General features: G+C 44.3%; 1 protein-coding gene and 1 pseudogene across 1 annotated transcript; one reads left to right on the forward strand and one right to left on the reverse strand.

The window, feature by feature from the left end:
- Positions 1-6,073: 6,073 nt before the first annotated feature.
- On the reverse strand, positions 6,074-16,913 carry SSX7 (SSX family member 7). The gene is made up of 8 exons (NM_173358.2): positions 16,775-16,913; positions 15,417-15,505; positions 14,883-14,997; positions 14,265-14,360; positions 12,366-12,415; positions 10,274-10,409; positions 7,452-7,556; positions 6,074-6,683 (listed from the first exon to the last, which is right to left on the reverse strand). Exons 2-7 carry the CDS (start codon positions 15,483-15,485, stop codon positions 7,456-7,458), a joined length of 567 nt encoding a protein of 188 aa, NP_775494.1. The 5' UTR covers positions 15,486-15,505; positions 16,775-16,913; the 3' UTR covers positions 6,074-6,683; positions 7,452-7,455.
- Positions 17,190-19,907, forward strand: LOC791097 (ornithine aminotransferase pseudogene; annotated as a pseudogene).

Here is a 23,595-nt window from a genome sequence, read left to right on the forward strand (position 1 = left end):
TGTCCATTTCCTTATTGGGGTAATTTTCCTCTGCCCAGATCTGGGTCCCCCACCACACTTAACACTGTCTGTGAGGGTGTGAATTCCCATTATTTTAGCTCAGGTTCCCAAGGAAACAGGCTTTGGGCCATACAGGACACATCTAGACAGACTATACTGAGAAGCCATGCTTGGAACGGTGCATGGGGAGAGGAGAGGGAATTTATGTACCTGGCTCTCACTCATGGTTTTTTTTTTTTTTAATTGGTCAAAATTTACCACATAGGCATGAACTCCCCCACACTTCTAGATTGCATCATCTGCCCCTTTCACAGCTATCTGGGAAGCCAGATCCCACACTTTGAAGTGTAGTGTTTCATACAATCCAAAAGTGGTCATAGAGGCCAGGTGTTGTGGCTTACGCCTGCAATCCCATCACTTTGGGATGCCAAGGCAGGCAGATCATGAGGTCAGGAGTTTGAGTCTAGCCTGGCAAGCATGGTGAAACCCAGTCTGTACTAAAAATACAAAAATTAGCCCGGCATGGTGGCACACACCTGTAATCTCAGCTACTCGGGAGGCTGAGGCAGGAGAATCGCTTGACCCTGGGAGGCAGAGGTTGCAGTGAGCTGAGATTGCACCACGGCACTTCAGCCTGGGCGACAGAGCAAGACTCCATCTGAAAAACAAAACAAAACAAAACAAACAATCAAAAAAGTGGTAGCAGAAACCAGAAAGTCCACGTAGGTAGCTAATTGCTTTGGTTGTATAGCAGCAGCCAAGGGTGAAAACTAAATACTCCCAGGCAAGTCCTGAGTTCACCAAGGAATTGGAGTACCCATCTGTGCTAGTTAATTGCCTTTATCTGAAGGAAAAATAAAACTCGTATCTCTATGACAAGCAGGTGCTTACAGCTTGGAGCAAGGCACCTAGGCAAACTCCCCTGGTGACAGGGAGACTGGGACGTCATCTTCCTCCATGTTCACATTTCAAAGAGATGGCTCAAGGCCCTGAAGAAAGACCTTTCTAGGGACTGGACATGGTGGCTCACACCTGTAATCCCAACACTTTGGGAGGCTGAGGCTGGAGGATCACTTGAGGCCTGGAGTTCAAGTCCAAGACATTCCCGGGATATACAGGGCCAGAGGCTTACATATCAAAGAAAGAATTTACCAACACAAATTTTCTGAAGGAAATGCTCTAGGGAAAGGAAAATGGGAAAAGGTATCTTCTTCCCTTTTGGCAACAGGAAAATCTAAATTTTATGTGTAGTTAACCTTACAATTTCCCCCTTTTGTTATTTTATAGAAACATTACAATTTTCTAATTATCTCCACTGCTGTTTCTATCTTTCTCTGGGTAGCGTACAGCCACATAGATATCCAACAAGTCCATAGTAAGATGCAAAGCAAAGCAATTATCAGAATTATAATAGAATGACTTTTTTTTTCGGGACAGAGTTTCGCTCTCGTTGCCCAGACTGGAGTGCAATGGTGCGATCTTGGCTCACTGCAACCTCTGTCTCCTGAGTTCAAGGGATTTTCCTTCCTCAGCCTCCCAAGTAGCTGGGATTACAGGCGTGTACCATCATGCCCAACTAATTTCTGTATTTTTAGTAGAGACAGGGTTTCATCATGCTGGCCGGATGGTCTCCAACTCCTGACCTCATGATCTGCCTGCCTTGGCCTCCCACAGTGCTGGGATTACAGGCGTGAGCCACCACGCCTGGCCTCTGCTAACACTTTTGGATTGTATGAAACACTACACTTCAAAGTGTGGGATCTGGCTTCCTAGACAGCTGTCAAAGGGGCAGTTGATGCAATCTAGAAGTGTAGGGGAGTTTGCACCTGTGGGGTAAATTTTGACCAATAAGAAAAGGAACCAGGAGTGAGAGTCAGGTACGTAATTCCCTCTCCTCTCCTCTCCTCTCCCCATGCACCATTCCAGGCATTGTTTCTCAGTATAGTCTGTCTAGAGGTGTCCTGTATGGCCCAAAGCCTGTTTCCTTGGGAATCTGAGCTAAAGCAATGGGCATTCAAACACTCGAAGACAGTGTTAAGTGTTGTGGAGGACCCAGATCTGGGCAGAGGAAAATTATCCCAATAAGAAAATGGACAATTTGAGGATGTGGAATAGAGGGAAGGACTAGAAGAACCAGTAGTAGTATAGCTTAGGGGTACTATTTTTGGAGAAAAAGGCAGTTCTGGTGATTGTTCCAGTGAATTGCTCAGCTCTGTTTTATATATATAAATATACATAAAGGATATATATATATAAATATATATGTGTGTGTATATATATGTGTGTATATATATGTGTATATATATGTGTGTATATATATGTGTATATATATGTGTGTGTGTGTGTGTGTATATATATATATATATATATACATCATTCTTTCCATCATTCTCCCCTATGAAATCGTCCATAAAGTATCCTTTTATAACTACCTATTGCCTGGGAAGTGAATTTTCTTTATCTTTTTTCTTTAGAGATAGAGTCTCTGTCGCCTGGGCTGGAGTGCTGTGGCACGATCTCGACTCACTGCAATCTCCACCTCCCGAGCTCAAATGATCCTCCCACCTCAGCTGCCCTAGTAGCTGGGACTACAGGTGCGCACCACCAATGCCAGGCTAATTTTTTAATTTTATTGTATTTTTAGTACAGAAGGGGGTTCACCAGCTTGGCCAGGCTGGTCTCGAACTCAATTGATCCACCAGCATCAGTCTCCCAAAGTGCTGGGATAAGAGGCGTGAGCCACCGCACCCAGCCTGTCACTTTCTTTTTGGAGAATAAAACATATTGAGTCTTGTGCCAAAATGCAGGGGAAGCTGCACCCAGAAAGGTAACAAAATATTATATATATAGATAGATAGGTTTTCTACATACCAATATTAACCATTTAGAAAACCAAATTGAGAAAAAATACACTTATATAGTGACAAATATACATAAAATATCTAAAACCAGATGATTGGAGCAAGATGGCAGATAGATCCCATGCCCCACTCAACATTCCATTGAACTGGGAAGAAAATGTTTTCAAGGGTCAATTCTCAAGAGTAGAGGAAAATAAGAAAACGTGTCAGTGGTCCACCAGAAATATTAAGGCATTCCTGGGAGATAGAGTAGATGGGATCAGACTGATAGAGAAACCCAAGGAGACAAGACCACAGGTCAAATCACTGTAGGCGAGAGATGCTGTTTGAGACAGAGACTTACTCCATCGCCCAGGCTGGAGTGCAGTGGCGTGATCTCGGCTCACTGCACACTCTATCTCCCAGGTTCAAGGGATTCTCCTGCTTCACTCCCCACTGTAACTGGAATTCATAGAGGCCTGCCACCATGGCCAGCTGATTTTTGTACTTTTAGTAGAGATGGAGGTTTCACCCTGTTGGCCAGGCTAGTCTCAAACTCATGACCTCAACTGATCTGCCTGCCTCGGCCTCCCAAAGTGCTGATATTACCCAGCGTGGGACGCCGCCCAGGTGATGATCTTTGTAACAAAGCCTCTGAAAAACTCCAAACCCTGAATCAAAAAAACACAGAGCCGGAAAGGGCCTTAGGATAATCATCAGGTAGGTTAATTTAAAAGTTCATTAGAAACATCTGAATCAGCCAGATTCCCCTCCAACACCACACTCAGATTGGCTGGCAGTAGCCACTTTTGCCTCTAAGATGAAACTCTGATAATTGTTCATTAAAGAAAGTGAAGGCCTGGCGAGGTGGCTCACACTTGTCATCCCAGCACTTTGGGAGGCTGAGGCAGGAGGATTGCCTGAGGCCAGGGGATCCAGACCAGCCTGGGCAACAAAGTGGATGCCGTCTCTACAAAAAAAATACAAAAACTAGCTGGGTGTGGTGGCGTGTGCCTGTAGTTCCAGCTAGATTGGAAGCTGAAGTGCGAGAATCCCTTGAGCCTGGGAGATCGAGGCTGCAGTGAGCTGTACTTGCATCACTGCACTCCAGCCTGGTCCACAGAGTGCGATCATGTCAAAAAAAAACACACACACACACACACACACACACACAAAAGTAACATATCAGAACTTGGTGTAACTTCAGCCCTTCACAAGGAGAGAAACACATTTGTGGAGAAGGGACCATGTTCACTCTTTATCTATCCATGATAGACAGATAGTCCGGAGCTTTATATACCCATGGAACCTATGGAAAAATGTTGCCTGTCATAACTCACAATCTTCCAGCCACCCTTCCTTGTATCTGTCTTGTGGGCTGGGGGAACCAACTTATGGATCCCATCATCCCAGGGAGAAAGAAAAATCAAATCCTTCATTATCTCTTTTGGGGTATGCTCTCCTCTATTTGCATGGAGGTTAAGGCACTCAATATCTAGTAGCCGAATGTTACATTTGTGTAATACAGAACTATATTGGTATAAAATCGAATTTGTTTCCTCTGAGACACAGGTAGAGGTACGTCCACACTGACCTGGGTGGCAGCCATCTCTTCCTGCAGTGCCAGGCAGGGCATGCTCACAGATCTGGGGAACCTCTTGCTCCTTGAGCCCCACAACCTCCTTCCTGGCACCCTCTCCCTCTGGTGGCTGTGACAGCCCACACTTGGCCTTGGGTCTCCCCTGCTTCTTTGCCTGCCCCTCTTCTGCCCACCCTGCATATCTCTGTCTCCCACTGTCCCTGCTGTGACCACGACTGCCTCTCCCTCCCCGCACTCTCTCTCTCCTAGGGCTCCTTGTCTTCGGTAAATGAACCCACAGCCTTTACATTGTGACTGGGGACAGAGCCCGGGGCTTGTTCAGTTCTCCCTCCTTCCATCACACACCTGTCCTCCTTAATGTTTCTGAAGTCAGTGAGATCCAAACTCAGCCCCTCCTGCACCTGCCAGCTGTAGGACCTGTGACAAGACGCCTGCCATCTGTCTGGGTCTCCGTCTCTCATCTGTCACATAGGCATAATGATGATAGTGTCCTCCTTCTCAGGCTGGAGAGAACCAGGAGGCCAAGGTGATGGGCCACGAACGGGCAAAACAGCTCCAATCCTGCCTCCACCTGGGGCTGGTGTTTCAAGTCCATTGTGTGTGAATGGAGCTTTGATGTCTCCATTGACACAGAATAGTTTGTTCTAAAATAGACTCCCCTCTGCCCTTCCTTCCCCACAACTCTTTCACCTCTGCACTGTGCAGTGGTATATGTGAGAAAGAACAGTCCCATTCCCAAATCATCATCCCCACCCCAACTCCCAGGCCCTTGATTGGTGAGACCCTTGATGGGCGTTCTCATGCTTCTGTCCAGGGGACTTTCCCACCAATTGCTCCCCTGCATGGAGACTAAGTGGACTCTTCTATTCCCTGTCCATCACAGGATCTACAGTGCACGCATCTGCCTGATTCCTCCACATTCCCCAGATGACGATTTCATCTGTGTCTCCTCCCACATCCACCCAAATGGACCGTCCCAGACCTTGAAACCGAAAATCATTCAGAGAGCGAAGGCCAAGATGCCCAACCACCTGCTGCAGAATCCTGCTCCAGGACTGAAGTGTATAGTGTATATCAAAATAAAAACTGGAGGCCAGGTGCTGGGGCTCACACCTGTAATCCCAACACTTTAGGAGACCAAGGTGGGAGGATCGCTTTGGCACAGGAATTTAAGAACAGCCTGGGTAACATAGACAGACTTTCTTGACAAAATCTTAAAAAAATTAGTGGGTCATGATGGTGCATGCCTGTAGTCACAGCTTCTCTGCAGGCTAAGGTGGGAGGATCACTTGAGCCCACGAGTTCAAGGCTGCATTGAACTATGATCATGCCACTGCACTCTAGCCTGGGCAGTGCAAGACCCCTTCTCTAGAAAAAAGAAACAAACAAAGAAACCCAACAACTGGAAACATCCTCCTCTGGAATGGTGGTCAGGAACATCTGCCTGCCTTGTTCACTGATGTCTCTCCAGCACCTAGAACAACGCCCAGCACGAGAACACACTCATTAGTGTTTTGTTGAATAAATGACTCCTTTGACACAGCAATTCAACTTCTAAGAATCTTTCCTAAAGAAATATTCACACAGGTGCAGAGACCTGTGCGCACATTAATGAGAGGAGCAAACAACTGGGGAACGTTTGCAAAGGTGTATTAACTGTCAGTGACTGATACGGGGAATCAGAGGAGGGGAGTACATGCTGAACAGGAAACAAATTGAAGGGGGGCTTGACCAGGACTCATGGCAATGGGGAAAAGCATATGGGAGATGCTTATACTGGTACTTGGTGTGTCTGTGTGTGTGTGTGTCTGTGTGTGTGTGTTTGTGTGTCTGGTGTGTAAATGCAGAGGGGAAAATCGGAAATTAAACACTCAGATCTGCCCTCAGTAGTCACATCTGGGGAGAGAGGAGGGTAGTGCTGTTCTATGGAGAGAATACCTGACTATACTTGCTTTCTGAGGTAGGTGCATGGATACACAAACCGAAATACACATTAAGCATGTCTTGCTCATCAATGAAAACGCTAATATCTAACAGAATGGCACACTGTAAGAAAATACAATGGAAACACTAACATCGAACTCTTGTCACACTAAGAAAAACGACGCTCAACTTTTCACTGTTGTGAACACTTGCTTTCACTTGCTATGCACCTGATGACGAGGGGTCCGCAGCCATGCCCATGTTCGTGAAAGGTCACCACGTTCTGCTTCTCATCATGGGCATATGTCGTATCCCCGAGGCTGAGGCAAGAAGAGAGAAGGAAAGTAAGTGGCAGTGAGTTCCCACCACGTGACAACTCAATCTCAACTCCTCCTGACCTGCAGACCCTGCACACTCTGATTCTGCCCTACCCCAGGACCTGCACACGCCTTCCATGGTTCCTTGAAGTGAACCATCCGCTCATGCCACAGTGACTTCTTCGCCTGGGTTATCCATTCCTAGGCTAGAGGAAGGTGTGGCCCACATACAGGGCTGATCTGGAGTTCGGGAACCCACAGCATCCTGGGTAGGGAGCATTCCTGGATATACAGGGCAGGGAGTAAAAAGAGCTTACGAAGGCCAGGCGCGGTGGTTCACGCCTGTAATCCCAGAACTTTGGGAGGCCGAGGCGGGCGGATCACGAGGTCAGGAGACCGAGACCATCCTGGCTAACACGGTGAAACCCCGTCTCTACCAAAAATACAAAAAAAATTACCCGGGCGTGGTGGCGGGCACTTGTAGTCCCAGCTACTGGAGAGGCTGAGGCAGGAGAATGGCGTGAACCCGTGAGGCGGAGCTTGCAGTAAGCGGAGATCATGCTGCTGCACTGCAGCCTGGGCCACAAAGGGCGAATCCGTCAAAAAAAAAAAAAAAACGTGGGAAATCTCTCATCATTCGGCCTCAATGCTGTACCCTAGAAAATTATGAGACGGGAATGATTTGGGGAGCAAGTGACAGATGGGATACCAGTATCATAACAGAATACCACATCTGCAGGGATGTGGGGGATGAGCCGAAGGTTCACTTACGGAGTTACTCGTCGTCTTCTTCAGGGTCGCTGATCTCTTCATAAATCACCAGCTGCTTTCTCTCACGCAGTCTGTGGGTCCAGGCATGTTTCCCCCTTTTGGGTCCTGTGATGGAGAATAGTTGGAAAGTGAGGGTTGGGTAGGTTGGAGAGTGTTAGGCTCTGTTTTCTCAAAAAAAGGAGATGCCTCCCCCCTCCCAAGTGCCCATGGGCCTTCTTTATCCAGTTTTTCACATTCTCTGGCTTAGAGAGGCTGAGACCTTAGACCCACACCAATACAGGCCAAATGCCAATTAAAGTTTTAGCTTCTGGCTCCTTCTGTTGTGGGGTTTAGATTCCCAACCTTTTCACTTACGGGAACATCCACCCTTACCTCCTTTCATTCAGCACGTGTTTTTATTGAGGGCACCGAGGCATACTTTTTTTTATTGCACAACATTTTCATAGTGCTTCACAGATGCTGCAATGTTTTTTTTTGGAAACTCTCATCAATTTTACACCTTTCCGTTATTATTATATCTGTTATAGTGATCTGTGATCAGTGAGCTTTGATATTATTACTGAAATTGTTTTTGTTGTTTTTTAGTCTTTTAAAATAATTTTAATTTTTTAATTTTTAATTTTTATTTTATTTTATTTTGTTTGAGATGAAGTCTCGCTCTGTCGCCCAGACTGGAGTGCAGTGGAGCAATCTCAGCTCACTGCAACCTCTGCCTCTCCAGTTCAAGCGATTCTCCTGCCTCAGCCTCCCGAGTAGCTGGGACTACAGGAGCATGTCACCACGCCTGGCTAATATTTTGTATTTTTAGTAGAGACGGGGTTTCACCGTATTAGCCAGGATGGTCTCGATCTCCCGACTTCGTGATCTGCCTGCCTCGGCCTCCCAAAGTGCTGGGATCACAGGCGTGAGCCACGGCGCCCGTCCGTGTTTTTTATTTTTGTGCATACACAGTAGGTGTATATACTTATGGGGTACGTGAGATGTTTTGATACACGCATGCCATGCGTAATAATCACATCATGGAAAATAGGGTATCCATCCCTTCAACCACTTATCCTTGTGTTATAAACAATCCAATTACACTCTTCTAGTTTTTTTAAAATGTACAATTAAGTTATTATTGACAATAATCACCCTGTTCTGTGTAATTGTTTGGGGGGTGGGTACCAGGAACTGCACCCATAGAAGATGACAAACTTAATCGATTAATGTTGTGTGTCTTCTGACTGCTCCACCGATGAGCTATTCCCCATCTCTCCTCCTTTTCTTGGACCTCCCTATTTCTTGAGACACACCTATATTGAAATTAGGATGATTGACAACCCTATAATGGCCGCTAAGTATTCAAATGAAAGGAAGAGTCGCGTGTCTCACACTGTACATCAGAAGCTAGAAATGGCTAAGCTTAGTGAGGAAGGCATGCTGAAAGCCAAGACAGGCTGAAAGCTCGGCCTCTTGCACCAAACAGCCAAGCTGTGAATGCAAAGGAAAAGTTCTTGAAGGAAATAATAGTATATAATGCAAAGGGAAAGTCCTTGAAGGAAATAATAATATTAACACTCCAGTGAACACACGAATAAGAAAGCAAAACTGCCTTACTGCTCAAATAGAGAAAGTTTGAGTGGTCAGGATATTTGATGAAACCAGCCACAACATTCCCTTAAGCCAAAGTCTAATTCAGAGCAAGACCAGAACTCTCTTCCAGTCCATGAAAGCTGAGAGAGGTGAAGAAGCTGCAGGAGAAATGTGTGAAGCTAGCAGAGGTTGGTTCATGAAGTTTAAGGAAAGAAGCCATCTCCATAACTTAAAAGTGCAAGGTGAAGCAGCAAACCCTGATGGAGAAGCTGCAGCAAGTTATCCAGAAGATCTAGCTAAGATCACTGTTGAAGGTGGCTACACTAAACAACAGATTTTCAATGTAGATAAAATAGCCTTCTATTGGAAGGAGATGCCTTCTAGGACTTTCATAGCTAGAGAGAATTGACTCGAACTTTGAAAGAAGTTCTACTGTGGGTAAAATGCTGTCCATAGCATCACATACTACAGAGAAATCCTTCATGAAGCAGAGAGTTAATCAATGTGGCAAATTTCATTGTTGTGTTCTTTTAAGAAACTGCCACAGCCACTCCACCCTTCAGCAACCACCACCTTGATCAGCCAGCAGCCATCAACACCGAGGCAAGACCCTCCACCAGCAAAAAGAGTGAGTCACTGAAGACTCAGAAGATTATTAGCATTTTTGACAATGAATTATTTTAAAATAAAGGTATGTACATTTTTAGACATAATGCTATTGCACTCTTAGTAGACTGCAGTATAGTGTAAACATAATGTTTTTATGCACTGCTAAACCAAAAAAACAATGTGTGTGACTCACATTATTGCAGTGGTCTGGAACCGAATCTGCAATATCTCTGAAGTACAACTTTATTGGGTATCAGGCATTGAGCTGAGTAAGATATTATCCCAGGTTATCAAAGATAGAATCGCTTGAGCACCTTTCATGTCATCAGGCCTTCTAGATTAAATTTAATGTCTCCAAACAATTTATGAACTATGATTCTTTATTTCCATCTTATGGACTAGGAATCTGGAACTGAGAAAATTTGGAAGACTAGCCCCAAGTCACGTGGTTTGTATATGGGTGACAACTCCAGTCTGTATCTCTGGAAGTCCAGTCAAACATCTCATCTGGAGCTGGGCGAGCTCCTCAGCCCAGCCTGGACCCAGGCTTGTCTGGGGTCCATGCCACACACCCAGTCCACACACCTGAACATAGCCACGGAAGCCAGAGGGTTTGTTCCCGAATTCTTTCCTCTTACCGGATGTCTTGTTAATCTTCTCAGAGGTACTTGGTTTTCCTGGAGGGCACAGGTGTTTCCCATCGTTCTGTGAGCCAGATGCTTCTGGCACTCCCTTCGAATCATTTCCTTCCTCTGCTGGCTTCTTGGGCATGATCTTTATAATGTGAAGGTCACAGATAAACAGAATCAGTGACATTTCTATAGTGCTTTAGAGCTTACAAAGCGTCTTCACATGCATTACCTTAATCAATGTTCTCAACAATGCTGGGAGAGTTACACATGCCTAAATTAGGAGAAACCTGGGAAGTTAGACGGGAAAGGAATGGCCTATGTGAATATCGTTTCCAGGGCTAGAATGCTTATCTTCACACTCTTTAAGACTGACATTCTTGCAAACAGTAAAAATCTCCATGCAATTGAGAGTTTGGTATACAAAAGATTGGAAGAAGGATAGCATTTTTAAAATTCACAAGGTCTACAAAAGGAAGAGCTTCTATGAAATACAAGGGATCTCATATAAGCTCTTAGCTGCTGGGAGAGTAAATGTAAAAACATAGAGAGGGGACAAAACACTGCTGGGAAAGATGGTGTGGGGAGATTAATACAGGGAAGGGAGAGGTAAAGAAATGGTTTGCTAAAATTAATCTAGGCAGCGAAGAAAGCAGTACCAGATCTGGCATACCACCCTACCGAGGCACCAACACTGAATGTGGAATTCAGTGAGGTGGTACCCATACCAATTCTGGTTGCATTGGGATGTGTCACTGACCAACAATCTTAAGCTACTTTTTTTTTTGTTGTTTTGTTTTGAGACAGAGTCTCACTCTGTCACCAGGCTGCAGTGCAGTGGCACGATCTCAGCTCACTGCAACATCCAACTCCTGTGTTTAAGTGACTCATGCAACAGCCTCCAGAGTATCTGGGACTGCAGGCAGGCGCTACCACGCCCCGCTAAGTTTTGTATTTTTAATAGAGATGAGGTTTTACCATGTTGGGCAGGATGGTCTTGACCTCTTGACCTAGTGATCCATCCACCTCAGCCTCCCAAAGTGCTGGGATTACAGTCGCTAGCCACCGTGCCCCGCTCTTAATCTACTTTTTATTCAGCTTCCTTGCTTATGAGATAGTGAACAATACATGTAAAATAGTCTACGGGAAAGTCCTCTCTGAGCTTGTAAACACTGTTTAAATGCAGTAATAATAACAATTAATACCTTTCATGATCCTTCCTTCAATTCGGTCTCCACACTAGCAACCCAACTCCCAGATCCCTTTACCCTCTAAACCAGAGTTGAATCTGCACTTGTGGGGTCACTCATTCAGGGGCCTCCGAGGGATCCCCTGGGCTGGGATGGGGGCTTCTGGGATGCCCCAGGTGCAGACAAGGTCCTCAAGGAGCTCACAGTAGGGAGGGGCCAACAGTCAAAACGATTCCTAAGCCATGCAAGTGGTCCCAGTAACAGAGCAGAGGCCAGCTGGTCTTTCCTATTGCGAGAATGGGTGTCTCAATGGAAGCACCAGCAGGCCCTATGGGGTGAAGCCCTAGTGAGCAACATCTGAACTTCATAAACAAATGCAAACGTGAATGAGCTTTAAATGGCTTGGAGCTCTGGATTAGACTACCACTGCCACTGTGCCCCAGGAAAATTATTTAACATATCTATACCCCAATAGCCTCATTTTATTATTATGTTGCTGATAACTACGATTCTTTACTTCCATTTCATGGACCAGGAATCTGGAGCTCAGAGAACTTAGAAGACTTGTGCCAAGTCACATGGCTTTTATATGGACGACAACCGAAGTGTGTGACTCATTATTATTTGGAGATAATAATAGAAACAAAGTCATACAGGTCTTCTTAAGGATTAAATACATTAATCCATGTGAACTGCTTAAAATAGTATCTGGCATCACTATGAAAACAAAAGATGTATTAAGGATCACAACTGTTAGTATTATTAAGCTGTTGGTGCTACATCAGGTGTTGTGATAGACATGGGGAGAAGGAGGCAGTGAGGGCATTTTTTATATTCTCCCACTCTTACCAGTGTTTGCATCCATGGAGGGACAAAGGTTCTCTGGTCCTTTAGATCTGAGAGACACTCACCTTCGGGAAGATTCTCTGGAGCCTGCAAAAAGTCATCTGAGGACGTTCAACTGAAAGAGAATATATCAGAATTTTTCTTTGTTGGTAAAGATTTCCAAACTCTAGAGACTTCTGTAGCATCAGGGTATTCTGCAGCAGAGTGTTATGAGTCCACTCATTGTTGAGGAGTTATTTCAGTTTTGCTTCTGAATTATGTTTAGTCATGGTTGATTCATTTATCTGTGGCATCAATTCAGAATTTTCCATCTCATGGTTTATCAAATGGGGACTAAACCCCATCACAGTCTCATCTTATTCCTTTACATATCTTTTATTTTTTTCCAAATAATTAAATTGATTGGTTAGGAATCTGAACTGTATCCACTCAAGATGTGCAACAACTGAAAATCATTGCACACTTCAAATGGGTGAATCTTATGGTATGTGAATTAAGCTGTTAAATGTGTGATGAACCATGGATGATTTAGTCCAGTGGCTCTGAGATATTTTCAGTATAAAGACAGTCCTTTAATGTCAAAATCTTGGCAGACACCCAAGCACTGGATTTTCAGATCTCTTACAGTGATCGTGGGAGATTTTAGAATCTGGCCTTTTTAGTTGGGGAGTAATAGGTCTATTGGAGACAGTTTGGACGTTCTGACCTTGTCTTATAATTGTGTTGTCAGAGCAGAAGAGCAAGGAAACACATATGTGACCCCTTTATATTCCCAAAACGTACAAAGATCTCTACCGAAGAACCTGTCTTTTTTTCACCCTATGTTATCTCTGCTCTCTGGCAAGTGGGAAAGCTCTCTCTGTGTGTTGGATGAGGGATCACTCTTTCAAACTCTCTTCCAAGCTCATCACGGAGAATCAGGGTTCTTTGGGAATGAAAAGACTATTTGGCTCTGATAAAATACAGAGAAACAGCGATCTTTATTACATAATGTGTTCATCATCCTCACTCCTAAGATACCTATCCAATACCTACATGCTGTTAATGAGACAAACTCTGGAAGTTTTTGGCGAATCTACAGTTGTAACATTTTCTTTCTTCTTTTTTTCTCTTGTAACATTTTTTTAGCAGTCCTTTGATTCATTAATGGTGCTTAGGAAGAACAACATGTCATCTAAAAAAGAAATATTTCAAACACACAGAAAAGTATGAGGAATAATATTGAGTCCAGTCGGATCTCAACATTACCCCACAGCTATGCTAGGTTTGATTTATTTATTCACAATATTAGAAAAACTACAAACAGGCCGGGCATGGTAGCTCACACTTGTAATCCCAGCACTTTGGGAGGCTGAGGCAGGTGGATCACCTGAGGTCAGGAAGTTTGAGACCAGCCTGGTCAACATGGTAAAACCCCGTCTCTACCAAAAATAAAAAATGAGCTGGGTGTGGGGGCGGGCACCCGTAACCCCAGCTACTCCGGAGGCTGAGGCAGGAGAATCACTTGAACCCAGGAGGTGAAAGTTGGAGTGAGCTGAGATTGCCTTATTGCACTCTACCCTGGCCGAGAAGAGTGAAACTCCATCTCAAAAACAAAAACAAACAAAACACACTATCAACAAGTCACAGCTGAAGCTGTCTGTGCAGCACTCAGCAATCCCTGCCCGCCCTCCCTCCTCCACTTACAGCCAGTCACCTCAATTTGATGGCTTTTTATTCACATTCATGTTTGTATACATTTACCATTTACTTATTATCTATAAAAATATATATTCTTGTTTTTCGTGTTTTAAAATTTTATATGAATGGCCTCTGTAGTTAACTTTCTGCATGCAATTTTTTTTTTTTTCACTCAGCCCTGATGTGTATGAGGGAACAAATGCCTGAGGATCTTTCCCAAGTAGCTGAGCTGAAAAGCAGCTGGGCTTGAGGAGACCCTTTCCAGCCCCTTCCCGTCTACTCACCCTGATTCCCTTGGTTACGGTCATTATCAAAATCATTCCCCTGGAGGTCTGTGGCCCCTGTATTATGCATGAAAGGTGGGAGGGTGGCCTTGAAGCCTAGAAAGAAGCAAAATGTTTATTCCTTAAGAGACAAGCTTTGACCTGTCACGGTGGCTCATATCTGTAGTACCAGTGCTTTGGGAGGCTGAGGCTGGAGTATTGCTTGAGGCCAGGAGTTCAAGGCTGCAGTGAGCTATGACTGCACTACTGCAAACTAGCCTAGGTGACAGACTGAGACTCAGACTCAAAAAAAAAGAAAGAAAGAAAGATACAAGCCGAGAGAAGGAAGGTAGGGACGGTGTGGGGGTGCCGGGATGCCACAGAGACACTTGGACTCATCAGAACAGAAGCCTAAGGGAGAGAAACGTGCAGGATCCAGGTATGAGCTCCACTGTGGCCAGTCCCTGCCCTCAGCCCTGACAGGATACAGAAGAGGAGAACACCCAGAAGCTGCCTTGCGATTTTTCCCTGCACAAAAGGAAAATGTGGGGTACTTTCTGCAGCCTAAGAAGTAGCCAAAGCAGGAATAGGGATGCTCATGTGTCCCCAGACTTGTCTGTACCTAGAACTTTCTGTTACCTAGTTTAGTCATGGCCTCATACTTTCTCTTCATATACACATAGCTGATTTTCTCCAAGGATTTCATCTTTTCCCACTCTTTCTTAGAGAAGTATTTGGCAATATCATCGAAGGACTAGGAAAAGATAAAAAAGGAATTTTGTCAGTGACTCAGCTAGACATGTCTGCCATTCAGCTGGAGCCCCTTCCTGTGTGCTGGATCTGGGAAGTGGGGATGATGCCATGGCTAACCGACAACATGAGCGACCTTTCCTAGCTTCACCCCTGCCACACAGTAGGGCTTTAATGCTGCTGACTGACTCTCTTCCCACTTTCCAGAATGGACTGAGATTCACCAAATGTAGTGCACGGTCACAGACTTGTCTCCAAGGATGCTAGTTGATGACAGAGCGAGGATGGGAGGCTCTCAAGGATCCAGATCTCCCCCAAGACCCTGGTCCTTGTCTCCAGTATCTCTGTCCTCCCCTCCTCAGAAACTTGGCCACCCCACACTGTCCCCTGGGCCACTACTCTGCTCCCTCCAGGTCACCTCACCTTTTGGATCTTCTCTGGTATTTGAGCACCAGCCCTAGGTCTCCTTGCAAAGGCGTCGTCTCCGTTCATGGCACCAGGAGCAGTCTGACCTGCAAGAGAAATAGCCTGAGTCTTTCCAGCCACAGCAGCTTTGGTCTTGTGGAGGGAGAAATCAGTGAAGGCCGGCCACCCTCAGTCACCTGGAATCAGGTGCTTCATTTCTCCATCTGGGGCTTATCTGTCCCTGAGTAATGACATGGGGCGAAGTCAGATGAAAATAGGGAACCAGGGGTCTCTGGGAGAAGTATTGATTTGGGATGACAGGCTTCCTGTGGGCAAAGCAGCCTTGAGTCTTTGGGAGGGGGTTGGCTAATGTTGTTAGTAGTTTCCCTGGGGCTAGCCTTACTCTGAAAGATGTACAGACCCTTGTTGGGAAGGCAGAGATGTGACTGTGTAATTTTATTCAGTGGGGGCATGCTGACACCCCGACTCAATAAATAATGGAAGGGAAATGAGTCCCAGAGATAACATCGTCTCTCTGGTGATGGATCTGATCAGGCAGAGGGATAGGGGGTTCTGTTCTGTTGAAGAGAAATGAGCATGGCTAATATGAACGGATTTAGAGGCTATTACTGGGTGATTTGTAAATTATTAGAAGAAGAGAGCTAGAATTTCTGAGACTACAAGAGCCCGCCATCACTTAGAGAGAATGTAGGGAGTTTCAAGGTGCAGCAATCAGCCAGGCGCAGTGGCTCACGCCTGTAATCCCAGCACTTTGGGAGGCCAAGGAGGGCGGATCGCTTGAGCCCATGAGCTTGAGACCAGCCTGGCCAACATACCGAAACCATCTCTACTAAAACAACAACAACAACAAAACACACACACACACACACACATTAACAGAAGCGGAGTGGTGTGCACCTCTAGTCCCAAGGCCTACGCGAGAGGATCACTTGATCCCAGGAGGAAAGATTTGAGTGAGTTTTTTTTTTTTTTTTTTTTTGAGTCATGGTCTCTCTCTGCTGCCCAGGCTGGGATGCAGTGGTGTGATCATGGCTCACTGCAACCTCCGCCTCCTGGGTTCAAGTGATCCACCAGCTGTGGCCTCCAAAACTGCTGGAATTACAAGCGTGAGCCACCGTACCCGGCCCAAATTTGTTAAGTTACTAGAGTTCCCAGGAAAAATCCCATACCTGAAAAAGTTAGAAACTGACAGGAAGGATTTGAGATGGCGACCTGCCTCACATACACTCCTTATTAAAACTAGATAACAAATGCACCACAGAGGAGGGGAGGGGTAGTAAGAATGGAAAAAGAAAATCAGCGCATGCTTACTCTGATTTTGGAAGAATCAAAAGAGAAAATCAGACCGTGCGTACTCTGAGTATGGAAGAATCGAGAGAGAAAGTCAGAGCATGCATACTCTGAACTTAAAGTAGCCAATCCCAGGGGATGCTTTAGGCGGGAAAATCAGAGTCTCCACCCCCACTTTGAGAAGGTTCTGTCCCTGGAGCCTGGACTGATAGAAGCCACATCAGCTTCGCTTATCACGCTACTGTTCTGACTTCTGATTGGCCAGATGGAGTTCACTAACTGCCCTGATTGGTCCATCATCCCTGCATAGTGACATTGCACAATATTGTCTCCTCCTCCAGCAACACTTTGTTGCCACTGCGACAAAGTGGGTGGTCCTCAGGCGCCGTCAGGAGATTTTGAACTCTCTGAAGACCGTCCCTGGATCTTGGGTTAAAAATCTGTTTTCTAGTCTGAACAGCGAGAAGAAAAAAATAGTCGGATCTGTGATTTTTCTACTTGAAAGACACAATGTTTTCCAGACTAGCACATTTGCAGAGCTTTGCTGTACTTAGTAGTGGCTTTCATTCTTCAGTGGCTTCTATATCTGTTGCTACTGAAAAAACAGTCCAAGGCCCTCCAACCTCTGATTACATTTTTGAAAGGGAATCTAAGTGTGGTGTGCACAATTACCATCCTTTACCTGTAGCCCTGGAGAGAGGAAAATGTATTTACTTATGGGATGTGATTGTGGTATTGGTTACATCCGCCTTGGCCAATCTTCCCGCCTCGGTCTCGCGACTACAGGTGGGAACCACCCCACCCCCACTAATATTTTTTGTTTTTGGATTTTTTAAAAGAGACGGTTTCGCTATGTTGGCCAGGCTGGCCTCAACCTCCTGGGCTCAAGGGATCCTTCCACCACGGCCTCAGGACTACTGCCATTCTGCCCTGCTCATTTTTATTTTATTTTATTTTATTTTATTTTATTTATTTATTTATTTATTTATTTATTTATTTATTTATTTACTTATAGGAAAGACAGGCTTTCGCTACGTTGGCCAGGCTGGTATTGACCTCCTGGGCTCAAGCAGTCCTCCCACCTTGGCCTCGGAACTACAGGAGTGAGCCATCCCACCCACGCAATTTTTTTGTTGTTCTTGTTGTTAGTAGAAATGGGGTTTCGCTATGTTGGCCAGGCTGGCCTCTACCTCCCGGGCTCAAACAATCCTCCCGCCTCAGCCTGGTGACTACAGGCTCACACCACCCCACCACCACTAATATTTTTAATTTTTCTAGCAGAGACAGTTTTGCTATGTTGTCCTGGCTGGTCCCTACCTCCTGGGCTCAAGCGATCCTCCTGCTTCAGCCTTGGGACTACAGGCATGCACCGCCCTGCCTTTTGCTATTTTTCCCCGGCTGCTTTTGACTTTCTGGGCTCGCTCAATGATTTGAACCTGGGAAGCGGACGTTGCATTGAGCTGAGATCACACCACTGCACTCCAGCTTGGGCGACAGAGCAAGACTGTCAAATAAATAAATACATCCATACTTGAAAGAAAGAAGAAAGAAAAGAAAGGAAGGAAGGAAGGAAGGAAGGAAGGAAGGAAGGAAGGAAGGAAGGAAGGAACGAACGAACCAGCTGAAACTCTGTAAAAACAGTAAGCTTTGTGGTATATTAACTTACCCTCATCCCATCTCGTGCTCCCAGCTTGGTTCTGTTCATTGCTGCTGAAATACAGATAGGATTGGCCAGAACTGGTAGATGGCTGGCTGTTGATCATGAAAATGTCAGACCTGATATAGTCCTCCTCGGAAAGGCCTTTTCTGGGGGCTGATACTCTATGTCTGCAGTGCTGTGGGACGATGACATAATGCTGAGCATTAAGCCAGGCGACCATGGGTCCACATACGGTGGCAATCCACTAGGCTGCCGAGTGGCCATCGCAGCCCTTGAGGTTTTAGAAGAAGAAAACCTTGCTGAAAATACAGAAAACAATAGGTATTCTCTTGAGAAATGAACCCATGAAGCTACCTTCTGATGCTGTAACTGCTGTAAGAGGAAGAGAATTATTGTGTGTATGTGTGTATGTATGTATGTATTTAGAGTCAGAGGTTCACTCTGGTTGCCCAGTATGCAATGGTGCGATCTTGGCTCACTGCAACCTCTGCCTGCTGAGTTCTAGCGAATCTCCTTGCCTCGGCCTCCTGAGTAGCTGGGATTACAGGCATGTGCCACTATGCCCAGCTAATTTTCATATTTTTAGTAGAGACTAGGTTTCACCATGTTGGCCACGCTGGTCTTGAACTCCTGACCTCAGGTGATGCACCCACCTCGGCCTCCGAAAATGTTGGGATTACAGGCGTGAGCCACTGTGCCTGGGAGGAAAAGAATTATTAATTTCTATTGTTATTAAAGAAAGCAAAGATTGTGATGCTTGGAAGGTGTGTCTACGACTTCAAGATTATCCACTTCTGGCCAAGCCAACCCATGGCGACATCATCAGGTTTCGCCTCCGCTGGTGGTGAAGGGGGATGAGATTCAAGTCCAGTGAAATCATTAACAAGACCATCTTGTCGTTCTGAGGGTAGCAGCTGTTTTCAGTGGTCCCTGGGAGCCGGCTGGAGACAGGTGGTCTTGTAAAAGCTCTGCTCTTAATGCGGGCACATTCCACTCCATGTGTCTTCAAAATCTTTTTGTGGAGTATCTATTTTTTTCAGTTAATACATAGCAGAACAACGTTTATGAAGCTGCTGTTTGCTTTGTAACGTAAGTAAGAGCATGCAATGGCATCTATATTCTGTGAAAGTGTTTTGATGTGTACTTTCTAAGGTTAAACGTATCTACATATACAGACAGTGTTTAAATTACATCCTTCAGTATACTTTATATATGTTTTTATAATTTCCTTGCTGGTATAAATGCTTTGCATTTGAAAAAGTTATCTCTAGGGAATTACATAAAAGACTTCACCTTATAAAGTCAAATCATTGTTATCATTGAATTTTAGGAAGGATGAATGGTTAAGTATGTATAAAATACTAATATTAAGTAAACTTCCTGTTGGCCAACACCAGGATGTATTCTATGGATGTCATTATTTTCAATTAAGAATTAGTGTTTAACATTCCTAAATTGTTTTGAGTGCTTGATTATAATTTGTTAAAAAATGTTTATTTTTAATATTTCTTTAAATTTAGTATAAAGCTTATATTTCAGAAAAAAAAAAGATACAGAACATGCCTGGGTGCAGTGGTTCACGCTTGTAATCCCAGCACTTTGGGAGGGCGAGGTGGGCAGATTACTTGAGATCAGGAGTTCGAGACCAGCCTGGCCAACATGGAGAAACCCTGTCTCTACTACAAAAATACAAAAAATACAAAAATACAAAAATTAGCCAGGCATGGTGGCACACGCCTGTATTCCCAGCTACATGGGAGGCTGAGACAAGAGAATCGCTTGAACCCGGGAGGCAGAGGTTGCAGTGAGCCAAGATCATGCCACTGCACTACAGCTTAGGTGACAGAGTGAGAATCCCTCTCAGAAAAAAAAAAAAAGGTACAGAACATTTCCATCATCATAATGCTATCCCTTGTGCTACTCATTTTTAGTAATACTCACTCTCATCCCATCCACCATCCCTAACCCCTGGCAACCACTAATCTGTTTTTCATTTCTATAATTTTCTCTTTTCTACAATGCTGTACAAATGAAATCTTATAGTATATAACGTTTTAGGGGTTTATTTCACTCAGCATAATTCCATGGAGATTCCTCCAAGATATTGATATTTGTGTATCAATAGTTCATTGTTGTTGTTGTTGTTGAGACGGAGTCTCACTCTGTCGCCCAGGCTGGAGTGCAGTGTCTCAGCTCACTGCAACCTCTGCCACCCAGGTTCAAGCAGTTTTCTAGCCTCAGCCTCCCAGGTAGCTGTGACTACAGGTGCATGCCACCACACCTGGGTAATTTTTATATTAGTAATAGAGATGGGGTTTCAACATACTGGCAAGGCTGGTCTTGAACTCCTGACGTCATGATCCACCCGCCTCGGCCTCCCAAAGTGCTAGGGTAACAGGGTGAGCCACTGTGCCCTGACGATAGTTCATTTTTATTGCTGAGTAGCATTCCAGGGGATGGATATACCACAGTTTGACCATTCACTTATTTTAGGACATATTGATTATTTCCAGCTATTGGCTATTACAAGTAAAGCTGCTATGAACAATTATGTACAAGTTTCTGGATGGGCATACATTTTAATTTCTCTGAAGTGTAATTGTTGAATTGTATGGTCACTGCATTGTTTAGTTTTATAAGAAACTACCAAACTGCTTTCCAGAGTGGCTGTAAGATTTTACCTTCCCAGCAGCACTTAATGAGGTGTCCAGTTTCTCTGCATCCTTGTCACCATGTTGTCACTATGTCTTTTATTTTAGCTATTGTAATAAGTGTGTAGTGATACCTCATCGTGGTGTTATTCTGCATCTAGTGAAGCAAATGAGTGTTGAACATCTTTTCATGTGCTTATTTGCTTATTTCCTCTTCAGTGAAATGTATGTTCATATCTTTTCATGATTTTCTAATTGGATTATTTGTTTGCATTTTTTACCATTGAGGTTTCTTTTATTATTATTATTTTTCTTGAGACAGAGTCTCTCTCTGTTACCCAGGCTGGAGTGCAGTGGCATGATCTTGGCTCACTCCAACCTCCGCCTTCCAGGTTCAAGCGATTCTCGTGCCTTAGCCTCCCGAGTAGCTGGGATTACAGGCACGCATCATCATGCCTGTCTAATTTGTGTATTTCAGCAGAGATGTGTTTTTTGCCATGTTGCCCAGGCTGGTCTCGAACTCCTAGCCTCAAGGGATCTGCCCCCGCCCCCCCGACCTCGACCTTTCTAAGTGCTGGGATTACAAGTGTGAGCCACCATGCTCAGCCTACCATTGAGTTTTGAGAGTAGTATGTATATCCATTATATATTCTGGATGTGAGTCCTTTCTTGGATATGTGGTTTGCAAGCACTCTCTCCCAGGTCATAACCTGTTTTTTCATCCTTTTAAAAAGATTTCTTGCAGAGCACAAGTTTTAAATTGGATGAAATCTAATTTATTTTTTTCCTTATGGATTATGCTTTTTGAACCGTTCACTATGCCCTAGATCTCAGATGTTTCTCCTATATTTTATTGTAAAAGTTTTCTTTTAGTTTTATATTTTAGATTTAAATCTATGATCCACTTGAGTTACTTTCTTGTATAAAGGTATGAAAATTAGGTCTTTTTTTTTTGGCCTATGTCTACAACATCTTCAGCACCATTTGTTCAGCAGACAATCCTTCCTTCTTTTTGTCTCTTGGTAAAAAATCAGTGTGGGGCTATTTCTAGGTTCTCTATTTTGTTCCAGTGATCTATGCGTCTATTCTTCTCCCAGTACTACACAGTCTTGATTCCTATAGCTATATAAAAAGTATTGAAATATGAAAGAGCCATTCCTCCCACCTTATTCTTCTTTTTCAAAAATTGTCTTAGCTATATAAATATTTTTTGAGATGGAGTCTCACTTGTGTCACCCAAGCTGGAGATCAGTGGAGTGATCTTGGCTCGCTGCAGCCTCCACCTCCCATGTTCAAGTGATTCTCCTGCCTCAGCCCCCCGAGTAGCTGGGATTTCAGGCACTCACCACCACACCCAGTTAATTTTTGTATTTTTATTAGAGACGGTGTTTTGTCATGTTGGCCAGGCTGGTCTTGAACTCCTGACCTGAAGCGATCTGCCCATCTCGGCCTTCCAAAGTGCTGGTATTACAGGCGTGAGCCACCACTCCCAGCGTTGTCTTAGCTATTGACAATTTGTTACAGCAACAATCAAAAATGAATATACGTAGAAACAGATTAGTGTAACTAAATAGAAAGTCAAGAAACAGACTAATTTATATACCAACTTCAGCATGCATTTCCAAACAAACAGTGGGCAAAAGATGGGTTGTATAATAAAGGATTGGTGACAAGTGTCTATCCATTTGAAAAAATGAAGATTAAATCCTTACTCTGAACCACATAAAATAATAAATTCTAAATGTTCAGAGACATAAATGTGAAAATGTGAAGTCATAAAGAACTAGATGAAAATTCAGGAAAATATTACAGTGTAAGACATCTTGAATTGGCATAAGCAATTCCTGACATTACACCAAGGCTATAAACAATTAATCTGACATAGTTAAAGATGTAAAAATTAAAGTATCATCTAAGTCAAAAGACACCATAAACAACCGTTTAAAAAGGCAAATTTTAGGCGGGGCGGGGTGGCTCACGCCTATAATCCCAGCACTTTAGGGGGCTGAGGAGGGCGGATCATGAGGTCAGGGGATCAACACCATCCTGGCTACCACGACGAAACCTCGTCTCTAATAAAAATACAAAAAATTAGCCAGGCACGGTAGCACGCGCCTGTAGTCTCAGCTACTCAGGAACCTGAGGCAGGAGAATCGCTTGAACACGGGAGGCAGAGGTTGTAAATTTAAGAGGAAGGAGAAGATTTCAATAAGCAATGGTGAGGAGAAAAATACTAGAATTTATTGAAAAGTGTAAAGTTTAGATTGTAAATTAAAAAAATTATAGTCTTGAACTAAATTTGCAGGTATTATAAACATGGAAGATGGGAGGAGGGACAGAAAAGAAAAGAGAAGTTATTTTGGTGTTCAAGGAATGCATACAGATACTAATGAATGATAGAATGGTAGAATGGTTAAAAACACGAGCATTTTATTTTGTTTTATTTTAGACAGGGCCTCACTCTGGTGCCCAGGCTAGAGTTCCATAGCACAATCGTGGCTCAATGAAGCCCCAGCCTCCTCAGCTCAAGTGATCCTCCTGCCTCAGCCTCCCATGTGGCTGGGACTTCAGGTAT

Source organism: Homo sapiens, chromosome X (assembly GCF_000001405.40).
Source record: "Homo sapiens chromosome X, GRCh38.p14 Primary Assembly".
NCBI classification, from domain to species: Eukaryota; Metazoa; Chordata; class Mammalia; order Primates; family Hominidae; genus Homo; species Homo sapiens.

Excerpts from the sequence above, each read along its gene's own strand:
- SSX7 (NM_173358.2), bottom strand. The coding sequence starts at position 15,485 with ATGAACGGAGACGACGCCTTTGCAAGGAGACCTAGGGCTGGTGCTCAA. Across the intron at positions 14,998-15,416 it reads TACCAGAGAAGATCCAAAAG|TCCTTCGATGATATTGCCAA; the intron begins GTGAGGTGACCT and ends ATCTTTTCCTAG. Across the intron at positions 10,410-12,365 it reads TCCAGAGAATCTTCCCGAAG|ATCATGCCCAAGAAGCCAGC; the intron begins GTGAGTGTCTCT and ends CACATTATAAAG.